The sequence below is a fragment of the Homo sapiens genome, chromosome 21 (genome assembly GCF_000001405.40).
Source record: "Homo sapiens chromosome 21, GRCh38.p14 Primary Assembly".
NCBI lineage: Eukaryota > Metazoa > Chordata > Mammalia > Primates > Hominidae > Homo > Homo sapiens.
The window spans coordinates 27,434,782-27,458,163 of record NC_000021.9 but is presented as its reverse complement, the minus strand read 5'-3'; the positions used below and the strand labels follow the sequence as shown (position 1 = coordinate 27,458,163).

Sequence of the window (23,382 nt, the reverse complement as noted above, 5' to 3'; positions counted from 1 at the left end):
TTCTTCAGGAGTATAAAGAGGTCTTCAGAACAAAAGGCATAACAATTTGCTACTCTAGAAGAAAGTTTAACCCACCAATAGGAAGTACTATACCAGGAGGTTAGTAGAATGACTATGCTGCTTGACATTTACTTCCTACTTCTGAAGGTATAGGATTCTGATCTTCTAAAATTACATAATGTATTTGCAACAATATTATTTTGTCATTTTTTTCTCCTGTGGCACCTATAACTTGAGAGTTTTCAGATACATTTAATCAAAACAGTAGATGTGCTTGATAAAAATTTGTCTACCAAAAGAGAAATAAAAGTTACTTTTCTTATATTTAACATGTGTTAATATAGACTTTTCTTATATTTAGTACAAATTAAAAATTGTTTAATTTTGGCAGCTCATCTTTTGCTCCCAAATAGATGAAAGGCAAATCTCTCATCTCACCGACTCCAAAGCAACAGAGTTGCATCACTCACCCTGGCCTTATTTTTTTTTTTTTAAGCATAGACATTTTACACAGAAATTAAAGTGTTAAATCATTTTTAAACAACTCTGAAGTGGCAGTTTCTTTTCCACTATTTTAATTATGTTCCTTCAAAAGAAGAGAACATTATGTCCAATGGATAGGTTTCCTTATAGTAAAAAATTGGAGGAATCATTTTTTTTCATGGTGACACTATCCAGATCTGAATGACTTCATCAAAGAAGTGGGTCCCTTGCCATTAGCCAAACTAGAGTGTTCCAAGTATCCTATTCTAAGTTTCCAACAGAAAAATCACTTCTGAAGAATATCTGAGCATTCTTGGGTACACTTTCAGGCCTTCAGAGTTAATTTATTAACTAACGAACAGGAATCTTTCCTCCAAATGGGTTGTGAAATTATTATCAAATGAAATAAAACTAAGCTCAATTTTACTATTAGAGGTCAGAAACTAATTTCTTTTTATGTTATGCCTATCAATCTGGTTTAGTTAAAGCTTTCATAAGTTCTCATACTCAAAAGTACCCTGAAGATATTGGATTAAGGAACATATGTTAAAGAATATTGCTCTTAGAATCACATTATTGATTCAGCTGAATGGATGGTGATAAGAATTGTTGCTGCCCTTCCCAGATCCCCTTTGCTGGTCCCACCATTGTGAGTGCTGAGAATGGTATCCAATGCATTTTGATTTCAGAAAACTGCCTTTGAATAATGGTTGTTTCCTAGGGTTACACCCACCTCTACTGGAGGCCACCAGTAACTAATACCGTGTTCCAAAAACCCTGCCCCGCTGAAAACTCTCCTGTGATTTACAACTTACAATCATCCCACAGAATATCAGGCATGACTTATGAACGAGGCCATCTCACTAAGTGGGTCAGCTCACCAAGAAGCCCTGCATAAAGTTACATCAATAATTATAATAATCACTTCATTAACAGATGATTTATTGAACTCCCATTGTGTGCCACACAGTGTTAGGTGCTGGGAAAAATGGTACAAAAACAGAAAAGATCCCTGCCCGCTTGAAAGTTAAATTCAAATGGATGAAATAGGCAATAACCACAGAAGCAAATAAATAAATATTAATTGAGAAGTAATATGAAGGAAACTAACAAGAGCCTGAGTTAATGATGCTTTATATGAGAAGGTGGGGTGGCTGTACTAATAAGATATCCTGGCCGGGCGCGGTGGCTCATGCTTGTAATCCCAGCACTTTGGGAGGCCGAGGTGGGTGGATCATGAGGTCAGGAGATCGAGACCATCCTGGCTAACACGGTGAAACCCCGTCTCTACTAAAAATACAAAAAAATTAGCCGGGCGTGGTGGTGGGCGCCTGTAGTCCCAGCTACTCGGGAGGCTGAGGCAGGAGAATGGCGTGAACCCGGGAAGCGGAGTTTGCAGTGAGCCAAGATCACGCCACTGCACTCCAGCCTGGGCAACAGAGCGAGACTCCGTCTCAAAAAAAAAAAAAAAATTCTTCAAAAGAGAGACAGAGAACATAACTGTTCAAGCATAAAGCTCCATTCAGAGCAGAAGAAAAATTCAGAGTGCCTGCAGTAGTAAGAGCAGAAATTTGTCTTATTTCAGATTTGGTAGAACTTGTGGGCTCAGGTTGGTGAGACATGGGTACTTAAGGTCCACTCTGTGAAAAAATACATACGCAGTGATTATATCTCAGTGATCAGGGTCTGAAGAAAGAAAGACAGAGAGAAGGAAGAAAGGTGGGGGAGAGGGAAGGAAGAAGGAAGAAAGGGAGGAAGGAAGGAGGGAAGGAAAGGAAGGGAAGACAGGAGAGGAAGGAAAGAAAAAAGGAAAGGAAAGGAAAAAGGGAAGAAAAGGAAAAAGGAGATAAGAAAATGGGAGGGAAGGAAGAAAGGAGGGAAGGAGGAAGAAAAAAGAAAGAAGGGAGAGAAAGAAGGAAGGAAAGAGGAGAGGGAAGGATGGAGAGAGGAAGCAAGCAAGGGAGGGAGGGAGGGAAAAAATGTAATCCCAGCATACACTACAGACAAGATTTTATTGAACAGGAATAAATGAAACCTGCAAAAGAGGATCTCCACCAGCCAAATACATAGACATGTAGACTGTTTTCTTCCCCACACTCTATGGCTTTATGATAAGATGATCTAACACAGTGTAAGAAATTTATTTAGTCTTTATATTTGTATGTCTATATCTATGTATATAGATATATGTGTAATATGTGGGTATATGTGTATACATGCATACATGTATTTATCTAGAAATTTTTGTTTACTTGTTTTTTATTTTAATCAAATGGGGGAATCAATCTTTCTCAGATGTTTAACCATGGCCATAAATTTCCAAGTTAAGAAACATTTAGTCCTGCTCAAGTTAACTTTCTGAAGTTAACATCATATAGAAACTACCCTAGTTCTACCAAATGGCTAAATTTAAAATTTTGGTGCCACAGGGGACAGAAACCAAATAAACAGCATTTACTTCATAGAGAATTTCAACCTGAGGCTTAATTCTATCTTGGAATGTTAGTTTTATTCACCTGCCCTTGTAGCCACTGGCATTCATTTGTCACATCATGTGTAAGAAGGATAATAACATGAGCTGGGATTGGAGAGAGTTAACTGGGTCCCACAGGACATGGTCTAAACTTTAGTCCCATATACCTAATAAGAGACTGATGTCTACAATGGGAGCACAGACTATATTAAGTAAATTTACTTTTATAAGAGATAGAAATGATAAGTATGCTAAGGAATTTCCATGTAACTTCCAGACAAAATAATACATTCAAATTTAGTATTTAGCAAATTTTAATTCTACTTAAATGATGTTTCAAAGGTACTTCCACACAGTAAATTTGTTTGTAGCCCTCATATTTATTCATGATGATAATCAACAAATATGTTTAATTTTGATTGAGAAATGCATACAATTTTTATATATACTTTCTTTTATTCACTGGTTTTTAATACTTTGAAAATATTAATGTGTCTTGCATTTGCATTATCTTCAATAGTTTGAGTTGATGATTTCTGTTTGTTGACAGATTAATGCTTTTTCATTCTAAAGTAGAAATTAAAGCAGCTGAGTTATGTGCACTTTTTATTACATTGCACTGTTTCCAATTGGGGTCTACGAGAATAGCAAGATGATTCAATATTAATTGTATTTATTTCACTAATTTAAATATTACTCACTACGTATCCTGCTATTCTTCCTCCATCTTCTATTGTAAAGGAACCCCAAAGGCAAAGATGACTGTTGAACAGCTCATGTATTTTGTCAAGCAAAGTGTATAGGAAACAATTGTTAACTTAGCCTTCTATTCCATTTCAACTGTTGAGATACTGTGATGATTAATTGTAGGTGTCAACTTGACTGTGTTGAGGGATCCCAAATGACTGGTAAATAATTATTTCTGGTTGTGTCTGTGAGGGTGTTTCTAGAGGGGATTTGCATTTGAGTTTGTGGACTTAATGGGGAAGATTCACCCTCAATGTAGGTGGCACCATCCAATTGGTAAGGGGCATGGATGTTAAAAAACAAAAAATGCAGGGGAAGGAGAAATTATTTCTCTCCAGAGCCTGAACACTCTTCTGCCTTTAGAAATCAGAACTTCAAGTTCTCTGACTTTTGGACCCCAGGCCTGGCACCAGTGGTCCCCGGGGCTCTTGGGCCATTGCTTTCAAACTAAGAGTTCTCAAGCCTTCCATCTTGGACTAAGCCATACTAACGGCTTCCCTGGTACTACAGCTTGCAGACTGCCTATTATGGAATTTCTTAGCTTCCATAATTATATGAGTAAATTCTCAGTCTCTGTAATTGTGTGATTCAATTTCTCCCTAATAAATCTCCTTTCATATATCTATTTATATATATCCTATGTTCGATCTCTCTGGAGAATTGTGACTAATACAGACAAAGAAAAAACACAAAAATATCACATAGTACCTTAATGTGCTAGGAATTCTATATTTATAATAGGTCAACAAGTGGTGGAAGAAAGGAAAATTAAATTAAGTAAATAAGTGTACATATCATCTTAGCCCCTAGTCATCAAATAGTAAGTCCTAAGAAACTTAGAGTGACTGCTTATTTATACCAAATTGTTTCTTTTCTCTCTTCCTATGTTAATATTTTGTTCCTATGTCCCAGAATTATTGATGTATTTCACTCTTCATTAACCATAACTTTTTAAAGAATGATACTTCAAATCTTGGAATTAACACAATTGTCAGACTTGGAAATTACTCATTGTAACCTGTATAAATCTATAAATACTTTCATGTATTTGTAACATATCTTGGATTCTAATAGCTGTTATTATATTTTCTACCTTCTGACAGACATCAAAATAATATAATAAGTTATTTTGCCTCTTTGACTACATATTTTTATTTATTAATTAATATGCCACACATCTCTGGAGATCTTTTGAGTAGAAAATAAAGAGTGCATGAGACTTTTGGGTGTACCTCTTTGGGAGAAGTTGAGTGAGTCTTTATGTAAGAAGATGAGAGAAAAGGAAGTACATTGCAGACTGTAAGAGAGGACTGTAATGAAGAAAGGGTACTCAACAAGCACTCTGGTTACTTACTGTTCTGTGTGTTTTCCAGTCACCTTGGTTGGGTTCACATAATTATTCCTAGCTAATGAAATGTAAGCAAGAGTAGTATGATCCACACTGGAGGTGAAGTAATAAAAAGTTTATACACAATTCTCCATTTTCTCTCTTAGCTTACTGAGCTTACATCAAGGCCACATGTTGAAGATGGTATAGTTACAAGATGATGAGCTATGAGGCAGCACACAACCATGAAACCTTGTGATTGAGGTGGTAGAGCCTCCATCAAGCAGACTGGAGCTGCTAATGTGTGCCCTGTGTGAGCAGAGGCAGCTGCTAATGCGCATGGGGTATGTGGCATGAGCAAAATACTAACTTCTGCCTGATATACGGGGAACTGTTTGTTACTGTAGCATACAGGAATTCATACTGACAAATACAGATGTTGCCTCAGTTTTCTGAGATTAATTCAACTTCATGGGAGATATAGGTATAGATATAAAGATATGATTTCTAAATTATATATATTAAAGTATATGTATATATATTAAATGTATAGCTACATATACTTAATAAATATATATATAAAATAAACAGCTACATATACTTAAGAAATATATATATTAAATAAACAAAAGTAGTATTAGGGTTTAATAAAAGATATTCATTAATATTGGTATCCACTTACAAATGGCTTGATCACGTTAAATCAGTCAGCTAAATTTAAGATACTATGTCTTCTATCATTCAATGACCCAGAATTTATAAATATTTGTTTATCTCAATACTATTGGTTTGAGACTTATTATTTAATTATGGGTCTCAAAAGATAAATCATTAGGTTTTCATAGTAGCTGACCATATTTCAGTAGAGAATGTTTACCTCATGGGACATGTTCATTTTAAAATGTTCAATTTTAGTTTCAAGTGCTGTAACTCACTGAAATGGCCCTGGTTCCAAAGGGGTATTTAATTAATTCTTTATTGAGTCTGTGCAAAAATAATGGCTAATATAAAAATATTAGACCCGTCACTTGTCATCTGCCCATGTTGTTTGCATTCCTTAGAAACTTGGCTCTTGTTCAGTTTCTTGGTGACATTGACATTCTTTTAGTTAACATCCTATCTGTTGTCTGTTACATGTCCAACTAATATCTCAGCAAGAATTTATGGAAATTTGTTATAGAACAAAAGATGTGGTATAAAAAGAAATTAAAGTTGATAGTGTTTAGAGGGCATATAAAAGAGCTGTAAGTACAAATTGTGACAAATCACTAATTTGCCCAAGCTTGTTACTTTAAAACAATGTGCCAGGCAATAGGTAACTTAGAGACAGAAAGAGACAGAACCTACTGGGTCGGGATGATTCAATCAAAGAAACAGATCTAGTAGGAGAAGCAGTACCTACAGGGGTTAAGGAGGGATTTTTTTTTTTTTTTCAAGGAATTGGCCTGCATGTTGTGTGATTATAAGATACAGTCAGGCAAGTCCGAAAGTCCAAAATGTGTAGGGCAGGCCATCAGGAAAGGCAGGCTACAAGTTTTGGGCACAGTCTGAAGCTGCTGTCGTCATGCAGAATCTCTTATTCTCCAGAGATACTTCAGCTCTGCTCTGAAGACCTTTCAACTATTAAATCAGGCCTACTCAGATGATCTAGGGAAACTCCCTCAGTTATAGTCAGCTAATTATGTATTTTAATCATCTCTATAAAATACCTTCCCAGAAACACCTAGATTAGTCTTTGATTGAATAACAGAGGACCATAGCCTGGCAACACTGGTAAGTATAAAAAGAACAATTTGTCCTGCTTAGGAGCACCTGTTTCGTACAGAAGAGGAACCACTCAACCAGAAAGTAAAACGTAGTTACTTTGTGCTTTTGTAGCAAATGAGCAGACAAAACGAAGAGTTATTATACTGTTGAGGGGTAATTCAGCTTGAATATAGGAGCTGAGGTTGCTGCTACTAAGGAGGGTAAGAAGGTCTACTTTCTGAACATGAGGCATTAAGTAGGGCATTCATTTCATGGTGCTTGTATTCTCAGCACTAGTTGTAAGAATACAATTGCAGCAACCACAGCTTTGCGAATATAAAGCAACTAAGACCTTAGATCCTTTGAGGATGAAGACTGATATTATCTGACTAAGCAAACAACCTATGCATCCCACAGTGCTGTTCAAAGGTGAGGGAGATATAGAAGGAAAAGTGGAGAGAAGAGGCAATGAAAACAATGATCAGTACCAGTGGCTGTACAGGAGACTGGAACTTACTTCACTAATTCTTCAGTGTGAAGGCTTTAGAACAGATTACAACTGGTCCGCATCCTTGAAGTTTCTCTCATGAATTTGACTTAATGGAGCTCGTTAGGGGGATATCTGAGCAAAGATGCACCCCATAGGACACCTCTTATATTTACTGTGAAGTCCTCTCAGCTCACCTCTACTCCAGCTGTACAATCAGCTTCACAGAGCTGAACCTGACAGCATCTTGCTTCAGCTCTGCCAAGAATCTCTTAGCATTTTTCTCAGGCTTTTCTGAAAGGGATCTGCCTGGTACAGGTGAGGCTTAAAAAAAACCTCGTAATGTAGAAAAGCTAACATCTCTTGGGGATACCCTTGACCACGGGAGGATTAAAGCCAGTGAAGGAAAGCCCATGTTTTCCCTCCCTCATGCAACTTTAAGGTGGCCAACGATTGAGCCCCAGCTGTTTAAAGTTATGACCAACTTTGACCTCTTTTCCTGTTTCACATGGTTTACTCCTATTCTTTCAGTTCTTAACAGAAAACAACCAGAAATTGAGGTTAAACCATCTGACCATATACTAAATACTGTGTATGCTTCATGTGGTAGAAAAACTTTAATAAACTAAGGTACCATTTCTGTAGTAATAAAGAATGAAACATCAACATTAAAGACATATTTTTGATGAAAAATATATTGTTAAAATAATTTTGAAGTTACTCCTAAGAGCCTACCATTTGAACAATAATAATTCACAAGTGACAGTTAACCACTGTTTACATATCCCAAATATTTTATTTGTAAGCAAAGAGGCAATTGCCTAGTTCCTAGACTCAGAACCTGAAGAGGTTACACGTTTTAGAAAAAATTGACAATGTTACATTATGGAGTTTAGTCAAATTTATCTCCATTTGCATGCACACAAATCACAATTCGACAGAAATAGTTTGTCCAATTACTAGAATAATTTTTAATTTACCTAAATTTAGAATATATTTAAGATCATAGCACAATTTCATAATAAATATGTTACGTTTGAAATATATTATTTAATAAAAAAGCATATTTTCATCTGTTTCAGAGAATAGCATTTTACTGTCCATGAGATTAAAAAAATCTCACATTTGATACAGCATTTTTCAAACCCAAGTTACATTAATATTTCTCAAAATATTATTTCTTTACCAAAATGAAAATTAGTTTAACATATTTGCTTTACCCTATTGTAGAACTTCCTTGAAACCTATGTTATTTATTGCTAACATTTTCAAGGATAATGGTTCTTGACAGACCTTTTAGAATAGTTTATTTACCCTCAAATGTTGTCTTGAAATTTACTTTACTCATGGTATTGTGAATAAAGTTATCCCTAAGGGTATCTTTTCTGCTTTGATAAACAAAATACTCCGTTTGTGAGATTAAATTCATGCATATCAATTGCTTTTCTTTTATCTATCTGCCTCATTCCCGCCAGAGAATTAAGTAAGGCAATCTAGAAAAAGAGGCAAATAGGCTATAAGATCACGGAGGGTAAAAAAAGGTGGTAAATAGACGGTATTTTATAGACTCTCTAATTTGGGAATTGTACTCTATTCTTGATATTCATCCAATTGGCTAAGATTTGCCTTTTATGAGTCTAATCCCTGACATCTCGACCGTGGGGAAGCACATAATTGTAGGATCTTCCTATTTCAGTAGGGGAAGGAAACTACTCAGCCAGATGAACGTCAATTGGGCCGGAATTGCTGCTGAATAGAGGCTCACCTTAAGTGGGAAGGAAAATGTGCTGGTTGCTAAGCTACTGATAGGCTTTGCCCTTCCTCTGTTTAATGGGCAGTCACTGGGTCAAGGCACAAATGATGACGTTAAAGCTGGCGTTTCTTTGCTAATTGAATGGTTACATAGGAAATGTCTAAGGGTTTCCTCTAAATTAGTTGTTCCTCCTTGCTATTCTCTGACCTTCACTCCCAGGATGAAGGGTGACTGGAGGCTAGGAGATGGAATGAATGGAAGATTTACTAAATAGTAAAATTAGCTAACATTAAGATGCTATAGCTGTATAAAAAATGAATTTGTCAGCATTTAAAATAGTTTATAATAAAAAACAGGAGGACATGTTTCAAACATATTGGTTTATATTGTTCATCCTTTCCACGTCATTATTCCTAATGGCAAAAGGTTGTGAGCTCTTATCCTTGGGTCTTTGCTCAAATTTGAAATGCCATATCCTTTTAAGATTAGGATAACAAGGTGAACCTCAGAAATTAATAGGCACAACCCCAAGGCACAAGATATGCAGCCTCCTCATTGCTTGTCTCTTGCCCACTCACACACATAGAGTAGCATGTTATGGCACTTACACTAATAAAGCCACTGCTATCAAAGTTCTGGACTTGATTTCCAGCAGTATTAGCTCTGTTTTACCCTCAAGCTTCTGGGTTAGTGGGTTATTGCTCACCAAAGAAGTTCTGGTTGGAAGAAGAGGTAAGATATCTCCAGAGCCGCTGAGAAGAATGAGTAAGGTAAGAAGTCTTTGTGATTTCTGAGCCCTGACTGCATTCAGGCATTGTTCTAGGGGCTGGGTATACAGTGGGGAATGAAGTAGACATGTGTCTACTCCCATAATGTTTCCAAGTTACTCAGAGTCTGAAGCTGGACTCAGGCTAAGGCACCCAGGCTGATGTTATCATTGAGATTTATGGGATGGGATTTAGGAGAAACTGGGGCTGTCAGATGTATTGTGAGCTGAGAAGAGTTGGATTTTCCAACTGTGAGGGGGAGAACGGTGCTTTAAAGTTATTATTTCACTGAAAGAGCTATCACTTGAAAGTTACTAATATTGTGTTTCTACTGTTGGTGACATTTATCTTGCAGCAACTCTCTGCTTTGAAAAAAATTACTCAAATGGTCATTATAAGACCATTACTTTAAGACAAATATCTTTCTAAATTCTTGAGAATGGTTGGCAAGATATTTGTTGATGGCTGGACTCAATTCAGATGGAGCTGTGTTATCTCCATATTTCTTTGCATGCATATCTTAAATGTTTCCATGTATGCATTTGCAGTATTGTCTAAGCTTTAAGGAGTCATCTGGGATATAGATGGACTTTACTTTGTGGTTTACAGGTATTGAAACTTATGAAGATAACTGGAGTCGTTTCAATATAGACCAGATAAAGGGAAGGAAAATAAAGCATTGAGTTAAAATACACACACACACACACACACACACACACACACACAGCATTGATAACAGTGACAGATTTTGTTTTTGTGCTTAGATTTTGGCAGTTGACCTTGATAATAACTGATAAATGTGTGATAAACAGTCAAGCATTATTAAGTGCTCTGAATAAATATAAAGCCAGGGAGGGAGTGATGGTGATGGAAGTTGGGTAGATGGTCATAAAAGATCACGTTGAGGTGGTTACATTTGAGTAGAAATCTGAATGAATGAAAGCATCTTGCCATTTGAATGTCTCAGTGAAAATTACCTCAGGGAAAAGTCTGTTTAAGAAGGAGACAGGACTCCAGCTAGAGTATAGTCAGCAGAGGGGCTGGTAAATGGAAATGTGATCAGAGGGTAGCCAGGGGTTAGAGCACAGCGAGCCTTGTAAATCAACATACATATTTGGAATTTTCTTTCTAATATTAAGGAAGGCCAATGAAAGATTACATTCCTGGAAGTGAAATGATCTGATTTGTATTTTAGAAGAATTTTGTTACATACAGTGTGAATAAATTCTAGAGGGACAAGAATTGAAGCAGAAAGTTGAGTTAGAAAGCTATTTCAGCAGCCAAGATGAGAGATGGTCTTAGTTTGGACTAAAATAATAACAGTGGAGATGATAGAAGTAGTTGGATAATGGAGCTGTTTTGAATATAGAGATCCCAGGATTTCTACTGGATTGCATGTAAGGAGTACAAAAAAGGGAGTCAAGCTTAACTTCAGATGTTTTGATCTGAACAACTGGGAGCTTAATGGTGCCATTTTCTGTGACATGATACTGTGATAATTTTAGGTGTCAATTTGACTGGACCATGGCATGCCCAGACAGTTGGTCAAACATTATTCTGAATGTGTCTGTGAGAGTTTTTCTAGAAAGATTAACATTTGAATCAGCAGAAACATTTGAGTGGGTAAAGCAGACTATTCTCCCTATGGTGGATGGGCCTCATCCAGTCAATTGAAGACCTGAATAGAACAAAAATGCTGAGTAAGAGATGTCTGTTTGCCCGCCTACTTGATCTGGGACATTGATATTTTTCTGCCTCCAGACTAAAACTAAAGAATTGAGTCTTCTCATGTCTTGAGCCTTCCAGCTCTCTGACGGGCACTTACACCATCGTCTCTCTTGGTTCTCAGGTCTTTAGATTCAGACTAGAACCACACCATCAACTCTCCTGGTTTTCAAGCCTTTGGACTCAGACTGGAACTAGGCCGTTAGTTCTGCTGGATGTCGAGCTTGCTCACTGCAGTTTTTAAGACTTCTCGATCTCCAGAATCACATGAGCCAATTCCTTATAATAGTACTCTACCATCCATCTATCCCTCTATCTATCTGTCTGTCTATCTATCTATCTATCTATCATCTATCTATCTATCTATCTATCTATCTATCTATCTATCTATCACAGCCAAGTATAAAGGGGTGCCCGGAGAACCTCTGTACAGTCTGTGCACTGGGAGAACAAGGTGGAGCCACCGGAAGTTCATGCCGTCTGCAGTGGGGAGGAGCCTGGCCCCTCCTCTTCCTGTATGGGAAACTGGGATTCAATCTATGAGATGAGGGCCTGTTAACAGGAACCCCTCTCTTGCTTTCCCGTGTTGTTTTCCTTTCTCCTTTTCGCCCAAGAAATTCCATCCCCCTTACCCTTCAAAGTGTCTGCAAGCCTAATCTTTCCTGGTTGTGTGACAAGAACCCAGATTTTCCTACAAGATATCTATGTATCTATCTATGTGTCTACCTATGTATCCATCTACCTACCTACCTACCTACCTACCTACCTACCTACCTACCCATCCCTATTGTTTCTGTTTCCTGGAGAACCCTGACTAATACAAAACTCTTGGGAAAAGAAGAGAATTTTATTTGCTCATTTGTTTTTGTTTTCATTTCTTCTATCTTGTGGTGTGCAAAGAATTAAGAATTATATTTTAGAATGGCCAAGATTGTTTTGATTATTAAGTATCAAAGTGGAATTATATCAGAGGCATTGGCTTTTACAGTCATGGGAAAAACAAACTGGGAAAATACATGTCGAATTTATCAATGTAAAGGCTTTGAAAGAAATAGTACTTGGCAATTACTTCTGGAGGACGATTAACTGTCAAAATATACTGACTTGGAAAAGTAAAAGGAGGACTGAGAATTGGCCATTGAATTTGGAAACTTTGATATCATTCATGACCATGAAAAGAATAGTTTAAAGACAGTGGTGGATGCCAAAACCTGACTGAAATAAGGTCAAAAAGTATAGATGGGAAGAAGAGAGTATACATATAAATTACTTAGTTATCATTGAGAGTTATGATATAAAGAAGAAGATATAAATGGGATGGTAGGTAGCGATAAATATGAGATCATGGTAGATATGTGGGTTTGTTTGATTTTTAAAATTGAATCTATGCTTTAAAAGAAGATAGAAGCTATGGAAGCATGTTTGCTAATAGGATCATCCAGTAAAGAAGGGAAAACTGTTGATTGAGGAAACATAGGACATAATTGCAAGTGAAAATAATAATTGTAAGCAAGATGCAAGGAATCACATCAATTTTTAGAGGAGGTGTCTCAACAAAGGAGTAAAGTGAGTGAGTCCACTGAAACAGTGTAGCAAAAGCAGAGATACACTGAGAAAATGTGAGGCTAGAGTTATCTTTGGCTAAACCTCTTGTTTCTATTTTACTTGTTTTAGTTTGAAATACAGAAATTGTTGGATTTTAAATTTGCCAGCCTGCAAATAACTGGCCTCCCAGTCAGTTTGTATTTCAGGTTGCATGCAGGGAATGCCTTCCTTATCAGAATCATGGTTTTTGTTACGTCTGCCTGTAGGCTAATTGAGCCCGTATTTATCTTTCTCATAGAACGATGTGGAAAATGGCCAAAAACATCCAAAATGCATTGACATTTTCAATACTTAATTAGTATTGCTCTTAATTCTATTGTTTCAGTAAACACTTGTCAACAATCATTTTATTAAAAATTTTATTATCCAATTGTTGTTTATTGATTTTATGAAATAGTTTTTCTGTGTCATAACAGGGATCAAGAGCCTGCAAAATCTGCATCCTCCCTGCCTGTCATTCAAACCACTGCTGTAGTGGCCACAATCGGTAGTAATACAACATCCAAGATAGCTCTTGACGCCCTGCCTTTGATCCATGAGGAAGCATGCTATAAAAATTGGGCTTCCCAGGCCAGGCGCAGTGGCTCACCCCAGTAATCCCAGCACTTTGGGAGGCCGAGGCGAGCGGATCACGAGGTCAGGAGATCGAGACCATCCTGGCTAACACGGTGAAACCCTGTCTCTACTAAAAGTACAAAAAAAAAAAAAAATTAGCTGGGTGTGGTGGTGGGCACCTGTAGTCCCAGCTACTCAGGAGGTTGAGGCAGGAGAATGGTGTGAACCCGGGAGGCGGAGCTTGTAGTGAGCCGAGATTGCGCCACGGCACTCCAGGCTGGGCAACAGATTGAGACTCTGTCTCCAAAAAAAAAAAAAAAAAAAAAAAATTGGGCTTCCCTTCCAAGTGCATACTTTCCAGAGGTCACTTCAGATGTGGCCATGGAGAGGGAAGAATACAAAGGAAACTCCCACTGCTGTAACAAAGTATCAAAAACTGGGTGGCTCAAAATTACGGAAAGGTATTGTCCCACAGTCCTGGAGTCTAGAAGTCTAAAATCAAGGTGTCAGCAGGGCCATGCTCTCTCTGAAACCTGTAGGAAAATCCTCTCTTGCCCCTTTCTAGCCGCTGATGGTTTACTGGGCTGGCAATCTTTGGTTTTCCTTTGACTGTGGATACATCACTCTGATCCTCCATCTCCACGTCGCATTCTCCCTGTGTTCCTTGTCTGTGTTTCTTTCCTCTTCTGAGGGCACCAGTTGTATTGGATTATGGGCCTACTCTACTCTAGTGTGACCTTGTCTTAACTTATTAAATCTTCAATCACTACACTTCCAAATAAGGTCACATTCTGATGTACTGGGATGTAGAACTTCAAAATGTCTTTTCTTGGGGGTCACAATTCCGCTCATAACAGAACAAAATCTTAATGAGACCAGTGGCTTACTCTGCTGCCCGGTGGAGTTGTCTCAGTTCCTGCCCAGCTGCATTTGATAGTTATTATGGCTTCAGTGAGCCTTCTATATCTGGACTCTACCCTTTTCTAAACAAGAGGTTAAGTTCAGCTATCTTGGGATTACTCCCCCTTTGGGTATTGGCTTTGTATTAGAAGAAAGGGCTTAGAAATAGTTTGTATTTTAGGTTTCTGGGTACTGGCTATGATTCCACTCAATATCATTGTAAAATGCTGGGCACTCTTATTAAGCAGTTGCATAGAACTTATGAGTGGTTGCTCGTGGAGGTTGGGGTGCATATTTTATAATTGGAAGACTGATATAATGAATTTGTGGGGTATCCAGAGAAGTGGACAATGGCAGCAATAGTTATACCCCAATAGCCCTTCTCCTGGTTACCTTAATGCTAATAAATTATTCTTAGGATAGCCCTTGGCCACACAAAATAAAGGCTGAAATTTTCTGAGTTCCAAACTTGTGATGGTAAATATTGAGTGTCAACTTGATTGGATTGAAGGATGCAAAACGTTGTTCCTGGGTGTGTCTGTGAGGGTGTTGGCAAAGGAGATTAACATTTGAGTCAGTGGACAAGGGAGAGGCAGACCCACCCTCAATCTGGGTGGGCACCATCTAATCGGCCTTCAGCATAAAAGCAGGAATGGAAAGAGCAGACTGGGTGAGTCTTCTGGCCATCTCACAGCTGGATGCTTCCTGCCTTTGAACATTGGACTCCAAGTTCTAAAGCCTTTGGATGCTTGGTCCTACACCAGAGATTTTCCAGGAGCACTCAGGCCTTCTGCCACAGAACGAAGACTGCACTGTCGGTTTTCCTACTTTTGAAGTTTTGGGACTCAGACTGGCTTGCTCCTCATCTTGCAGACTGTCTATTGTAGGACTTCACGTGGTGATCCTGTGAGTCAGTACTCCTTAATAAATTCCCCTTCATTTATACATCTGATCTATTAGTCCTGTCTCTCTTAAGAACCCTAATACACCTTGCAACTAAGTTATGGGCATTTGGATGTCAGAAGAATTGACGTGTGCAACTTTAATACCGTATTATTTAAAGGTTCTCTACCCCCACCCCAACCTTTGTCCATGCTGTTGCTTGAAATCAAGACTTGCTTTTAAGCTATCTTGGGCTATGTATCAAGATCATTATCCTAAGACTAAACAAACAAGCAGAAAAGAATGCATCCGGGATGAATATATAGGTCCACAACAAACAGTGGAGACAAAACAAGTATAACACAGAACTGCTATATTTGGGGGTTTCAGCAGGAACTCTATGTAAGTCACAGAAGTCAAATAAGAATAAGGTTCTTGAATGGGCTTTTCAGACATTCCAATCTCTTGTCTATAATACAATAGTCACTAGTACTAATTATTTGAAATAAATAAGCATCCCTAGAGTCCTCAGACTTTTTGAGGATGAGAGAAATAAATATATTTCTTGAGATTAGCAGAGTGGAAGTTCTGAAATGTTTTACATTAAGTATTAGAAGCTGCTATTTTGTTGTGTAATATGATTAGATAAAGAAAAGCCCAATAGTTACATATTTTATATTTATTTTACACCTAAGATTCTAAGCTTGGATCACGATTGCTTTATAGGCTGTAATAAAAGCTGGTCAACTTTAGAATCCTAGTTGATTAAGAATCCAAAAACCCTTCTAAATGTTAATCATGCTTATGGAGACCAGTTGGCAATCAAAATCCAAATATAAAATTTGAAGAAAAATGACCATAAAATTTGACAAGTCTAGGATATACTTAAGGAAGCTTCTCCAACCAACTAAACACAACATGGGATGTGGAAGGGTTACATAGCAGAATGGAATGAGAGGAGAGGTACACCTGCAAAAAGTCACTTTATAAAAATTTGCTAAGAGAATAGATCTTAAGTGTCCTTACCACACACGCATACAAACACATACATAAACACACAAATAGTAACTAAGTGAAGTGATGGAAGTGGTGATTAACTTGATTGTAGCAATCATTTTACAATTTTTCATATATCAAATCATCACATTATATACTGTGAGTATATTAAAAAATTATGAATTACATCTCAATAAAGTTAGAAAACAATAAAAATAAAGTTAAAAATAAAATGAAAGGGTTGAAGGTAGGGTAATACATAGCTATGCTCTATAAAAATGACATTTAGACTAAAACCTCTGTCAGATTTAGATTAGGTAAAGGAAAGATGGTTTTGTAAGATTTTGTGGGCTTTGTAAATTCATCTGTTGACTTCCACTCATAAGAGGCTATTGCTATCAGAAGAAGCAGTCTAAGATAGGCAATAATTATCATTACTCTCATTTCATACAAATGTTCTCTATAAATAAACTCAAGTACAATATGTCACTTTAAAGTGGTATATATGACACAGACATGGGGTTTTTAAGTCTTACGTGTAAAAATGCATTTATTTTAAATAAATTATAGATTCCTTTGTTGAGTTCCTCCCTTAAACATTAAAATGTCTTTCTTAGGGTTGTGTAGAATAAAAGATATAGGAGAAAGATTGGGAGCTGAAGGAGCTGCGTGTTACATTTGCATTTCAGAAGATAGTGAAATGGGAGCATTCCCCCTTTAAGGACAGGGGTGTGGCTGGCATGTTTAGTCACCTACTGCTTAAATCCTTGGTGGGAGGGGGATCATGGAGACAGGCAGAGGCTGGGGGTGAGTGCTTTGGGGTCTAGCCCCAAGGTAATGTCTACGAGTGGGTGCCTACAACCCCAAAGCTCTTTCAGCTTTGCCACCCACAGACAGCTTGAGTATTAATCAACTCAATGGACCCTCTGCCCTTACAAAAGGGCAGAGGGCCACTGTGAAAGCTTTCTGTATCCTGAGCTTTTGTGCATTATCCCAGAAAAAATCAGGTCACACTCGGGCTTGAAGGATAAATGTGAGATTTTGAGTGATGGAGGTGGCTTTCAGTAGGATGGAGGGGGAGCTGGAAGGTGGGGATCAAGTGAGAAGGTGGTCTTCACCTGGAGGTGGCTTTTGATGGGATAGATGGGGAGATGGAAGGTGGGGGATGGAGTGAAAAGGTGGTCTTCCCCTGGAAGAGGGTCACCCAGCAGCTGGATTCCTCTCCAACCACCCCCAGTCGAACTCCTCTTGGCATTCAAATGTTCCTCCTCTTCTCTCTTTCTCTGCCACATCATTCTGCTGTCCGTCCATCTGCTGATCTGCTGGCTTGCCTGGGTTTCAGGGATTATATGGGTGCAGGGTAGGGGGTATGGCAGGCCAAAAGGCAACTTTTGGGGCATGAAAACAGAAATGCCTGTCCTCATTTAGGGACTTGGGTCTTCAGGCTGGAGGGTAGGGCCTTTTCCAGGGAACAGCTCTCTTCTACACAGTATTTCCCTGTCTCCTGTGCATATCAATAGGGCAAATGTTCAGATTTCAGTTAGAATTAAATCTTTGCCTATATGTATTTCATTCCCAATTCATTTATTGAATTTATTTTAACTCATAATAAAAATTTTAAAGTCTATATTTATAGTCTAATTTTAATTAAAAACATCTACTTCTGTTTTATCATCAAGCTGCTAATTGGCCAGTTTATGATTGGGCAATGACAAACTTTAAGTTTTAGTATATTTAGGGAACTATGGTAAGAACGTTAGCAAATAACACTAAATATTATGTGATTTAATAATATTATTTAATCCTCGAAATCACTGTATGAAATAGGTTATATCATTTGTTTATTGTACAAATGACAAAATTAAGGAGCAGAAAGCTGGAATTTATCTCACCTAAACCAGACAACACAGTTGTTCCTTTGCTTTTGAAGGTTAACAAAAGCATAAAACCTTCCTAACTAAGCAAAAAACATGTAACTAGGAAACAGTTTAACTACTTTTAATATGTTTAAATATCACATTTAAAATTTTTGAAGAAAATAAATAACAGGCAATTCTGTTGGTCATTATTAGACTTATAAGTAGTTTCAAATGCTTCCAATACATTCAGCTTTAAAGCCTAAAAGGAAATTCTCTTGGACAGATTCCGGCTAAAGAGAAGGTAATGAAGTCATTAAACAAATTAACCAAACAAGTAAATAAACAACAAAAAACAGCACAATTTTAAAACATCTTCATATAGAATACATAGAACATTTTCATGTATTCATTGAACCAGTCTTTCATTCAACCAAACTATATTGAGTTCCCAGTAGAACTTAGTTCAGTTGTAGACCTTGGAATTACATTGACCAATAATGTAAGGAAAATGGTGACCCTCAAGGGAATATTGATACAATGTAGTAAATCAGTTCTAACTCTAAACATCTAAACATCTCTGACAATTATGCTTTCCCTTTTCTTCTCTGGATACTTGAAGCACATGCACAGAAAAAATAGCAAATGAGCGTGTTAACTGAGTCTTTAAAGAATACCCCATGTAAAAGTATTCTAGAAATCACATCGCAGTACATGACATAAGCCCCCAAATGTAGCAATGCTTCTTTTCTCCACATTCACAACCATAAGGCTACTATTGGCAATTCTGAAAAAAATGCAGTATGAAGCTTGAAAATGTAGGAAAAAAAGAGGTAGCTTTTTCTTGGGAGGGGAGTACAAACTTGTCTGAATAGACTCCACCCACATGTCCTGAAGTCTGAACAACCATATCAGCATCTGTATCCTGAAGAAAGACGAACTGAGAAAGAGGAGAGGAGAAGGCTACAGGCTGAGGGTGTTCTATGCACCATGCCTTGGGAGCCAAGTGCAAAGTCTCATATCTAGACTGGAAGGGTGTCCAGTTGGTAAAAGTTACAGGCAGAAGTGATATATGAATTGAGTTTTGAGATAAAAATGGGCTAGATAAACCATCCATGGATTGATGAGAAGGGAATAGCAGTCAGAAGGGGGCTAATTATCCATGGTCAGATCACAAAATACAAGGAATGTGTAACTAGAGATAAAGCAGGAGAGATAAGCTAAAAATGCACAATAAACAACTTTATATTAGAGAGTTTCAAGCATTTGCTGGTTGTACTGTCATTGAAGGAATTTAAGAACAAGAGTAACATGAGTCAAAGTATTTTAATTTTATTACCTTTTACACCTATATATGTCGTTTTCTAAAAACACTTATGTATATAAAGTTATTTCTAAAATATATTTCAATTTATAATAATTTTTAAAATTTCTTCAAATATGATATTAGTCTCAAGAAAGTCAGTGTCATATTTCACCTTGATTTTTCAGCTATTCAGCATGATTATGAAGTACATTTACATTAGAAATTCCAAATGAGTTTTGGCTTTCAAAATTCAAATCCACCCTTGAAAATGTTCATTTTTTTTCTTCTTTCTTCCTTTCTCCTTTCATCCATCCATCTTTCAACCAACACGTCTAAGTATCTACTTTGTATTAAATTGGGAAGTCTTTGTAAAGGAGGAGTCTCAGACCTCATTGAATTTATGCAGCTATGGAGGATAGAGGAAATGAGGATTTAAACACTCAAGGATTAAATGTGATGAGGACTATGAAGGCAATAAATGAGGGTGTTAAGATAGCACAGTCTAGGGAAAGAAGAATCCTGTGGAAAGCTGGGTCAGATAAGCCTCTATAAGAGATGACATTTAAATTAAGACGTGGATGACATAAAGGACGTAATAATGCAGACAGCCAGGTGAAGAGCATCTTAGATAGACAGAACAGCAATTGTAAAGGTCCTGAGGCAGAAATTGTGTGTTAGAGCATCACAGAAAAGCACTGATCAGAGGAGCAAGGTAAGAAGTTAGTTCAAAGAGGTAGGAAAATGCCAGTTAATGCTAGGCCTTGACACCATGCTAAGGAGTTTGGGATTTATTCAAAGGATGACTGTAAGCCTCTCCAAGTTTTGAACATTAGAATGATAGAATCTGAATTGCTTTTGTAAAACATTGTTTCACGTATTATGTAGACAATGGAGTTGTAAAGGGCTAAGAGTTACTCCATGTAAGGTTTTTGAAGAATTGTTGCAGTAATCAGGTTAAAGAGGTTGGTTGCTGGGACTACAGAGATAGCTGAGAAATGGTGGTAATTGTGGAAATTTAAGGTATCTTGAAGGTAATTCAAAAAGGACATGCTGATGGATTGGATGTGTAGAGTCAGGAAAGGTTGACTATAATTTTATGGCTTCATACCTCAGTGAATAATAGAGCTTTTCACTGAGATAGGAAAGAGTGAGTAGAGCAGGTTTGCAAAGGAAAATGAAGTGTCCTTTATTAAAAACATCTCTCTCTCCATTTCTTATCTCTCCTTTTCTCTTTCTTTGCATCATTGTTTTCTCGTAGAACAGCCTCTATTTCTCTGCCAACTTTGATTATATTTCTGTTCCTATATTCATTGTCTCTCTTCTTTTTCTTCTTTAAAAGCACTTCCCTGTTCTGAAAGGAATAGCATCAACATCAACAAAAAGGACATCCACACCAAAACCCCATCTGTAGGTCACCATCATCAAAGACCAAAGGTAGATAAAACCACAAAGATGGGGAGAAACCAGAACAGAAAAGCTGAAAATTCTAAAAACCAGAGGACCACTTCTCCTTCAAAGGATCTCAGCTCCTCACCAGCAATGGAACAAAGCTGGACAGAGAATGACTTTGACGAACCGACAGAAGTAGGTTTCAGAAGATCGGTAATAACAAACTTCTCCAAGCTAAAGGAGGATGTTCAAACCCATCTCAAGGAAGTTAAAACCTTGAAAAAAGATTAGACGAATGTCTAACTAGAATAAACAGTGCAGAGAATAATTTAAATGACCTGATGAAGCTGAAAACCATGGCACAAGAACTACCTGATGCATACACAAGCTTCAGGTAGTGTATGTAATTCGATCAAGTGGAAGAAAGGATATCAGTGATTGAAGATCAAATGAATGAAATGAAGCAGGAAGAGAAGTTTAGAGAAAAAAGAGTAAAAAGAAACGAACAAAGCCTCCAAGAAATGTGGGACTTTGTGAAAAGACCAAACCTATGATTGATTGGTGTACCTGAAAGTGATGGGGAAAATGGAACCAAGTTGGAAAACACTCTTCAGGGTATTATCCCAGGAGAACTTCCCTAACCTAGCAAGGCAGGCTAACATTCAAATTGAGGAAATATAGAGAACGCCACAGAGATACTCCTCAAGAAGAGCAACCCCAAGACATATAGTTGTCAGATTCACCAAGGTTGAAATGAAGGAAAAAATGTTAAGGGCAGCCAGAGAGAAAGGTCGGGTTACTCACAAAGGGAAGCCCATCAGACTAACAGTGGATCTTTCAGCACAAACTCTACAAGCCAGAAGAGAGTGGGAGCCAATATTCAACATTCTTAAAGAAAAGAATTTTCAACCCAGAATTTCATATTCAGCCAAAATAAGCTTCATAAGTGAAGGAGGAATAAAATCCTTTACAGACAAGCAAATGCTGAGAGATTTTGTCACCACCAGGCCTGCCTTACAAGAGATCCTGAAGGAAGCACTAAACATGGAAAGGAAAAACTGGTACCAGCCACTGCAAAAACATGCCAAATTGTAAAGACCATTGATGCTAGGAAGAAACTGCATCAACTAATAAGCAAAATAACCAGCTAACATCATAATGACAGGATCAAATTCACACATAACAATATTAACCTTAAATGTAAATGGGCTAAATGCCCTAATTAAAAGACACAGACTGGCAAAGTAGATAAAGAGTCAAGACCCATCAGTGTGTTGTTGTTTACAGGAGACCCATCTCATGTGCAGAGACACACATAGGCTCAAAATAAACGGATGGAGGAAGACCTACCAAGCAAATGGAAAACACAAAAAAGCAGGGGTTGCAATCCCAGTCTCTGATAAAACAGACTTTAAACCAACAAAGATCAAAAGAGGCAAAGAAGACCATTACATAATGGTAAAGGGATAAATTCAACAAGAAGAGCTAACTATCCTAAATATATATGCACCCAATACAGGAGCACCCAGATTCATAAAGCAAGTCCTTAGAGACCTACAAAGAGACTTAGACTCCCATACAATAATAATGGGAGACTTTAACACCCCACTGTCAACATTAGACAGGTCAATGAGACAGGAAGTTAACAAGGATATCCAGGACTTGAACTCAGCTCTGCACCAAGCAGATCTAATAGACATCTATAGAAGTCTCCACCCCTAATAGACATCTACAGAAGCCTCCACCCCAAATCAACAGAATATACATTCTTCTCAGCACCACATCACACTTATTCCAAAATTGACCACATAGTTGAAAGTAAAGCACTCCAGCAAATGTAAAAGAACAGAAATCATAATAAACTGTCTCTCAGACCACAATGCAATCAAATTAGAACTCAGGATTAAGAAACTCACTCAAAATTGCACAACTATATGGAAAACAACAACCTGCTCCTGAGTGACTACTGGTTACATAACAAAATGAAGGCAGAAATAAAGATGTTCTTTGAAACCAATGAGAACAAAGACACAACATACCAGAATCTCTGGGACACATTTAAAGCAGTGTGTAGAGGGAAATTTATAGCACTAAATGCCAACAAAAGAAAGCAGGAAAGATCTAAAACCGACACCCTAACATCAAAATTAAAAGAACTAGAGAAGCAAGAGTAAACACATTCAGAGGCTAGCAGAAGGCAGGAAATAACTAAGATCAGAGCAGAACTGAAGGAGATAGAGACACAAAAAAACCCTTCAAAAAATCAGTGAATCCAGGAGCTAGTTTTCTGAAGAGATCAACAAAGTAGGTAGACCGCTAGCAAGACTAATAAGAAGAGAGAAGAATCAAGTAGATGCAATAAAAAATGATAAAGGGGATATCACC

At 37.5% G+C, this 23,382-nt stretch overlaps 1 long non-coding RNA gene across 2 annotated transcripts in view; it reads left to right on the top strand.

Moving 5' to 3' along the window:
* Positions 1-9,523: 9,523 nt before the first annotated feature.
* The window catches only part of LOC105372762 (uncharacterized), a 54,823-nt gene continuing 40,964 nt past the window's right edge, over positions 9,524-23,382 (top strand). For both annotated transcript variants that reach the window (XR_007067830.1, XR_001754990.2), the window contains exon 1: positions 9,524-9,786. This is a non-coding gene — a long non-coding RNA (uncharacterized LOC105372762). The remainder of the gene's footprint in view (positions 9,787-23,382) is intronic.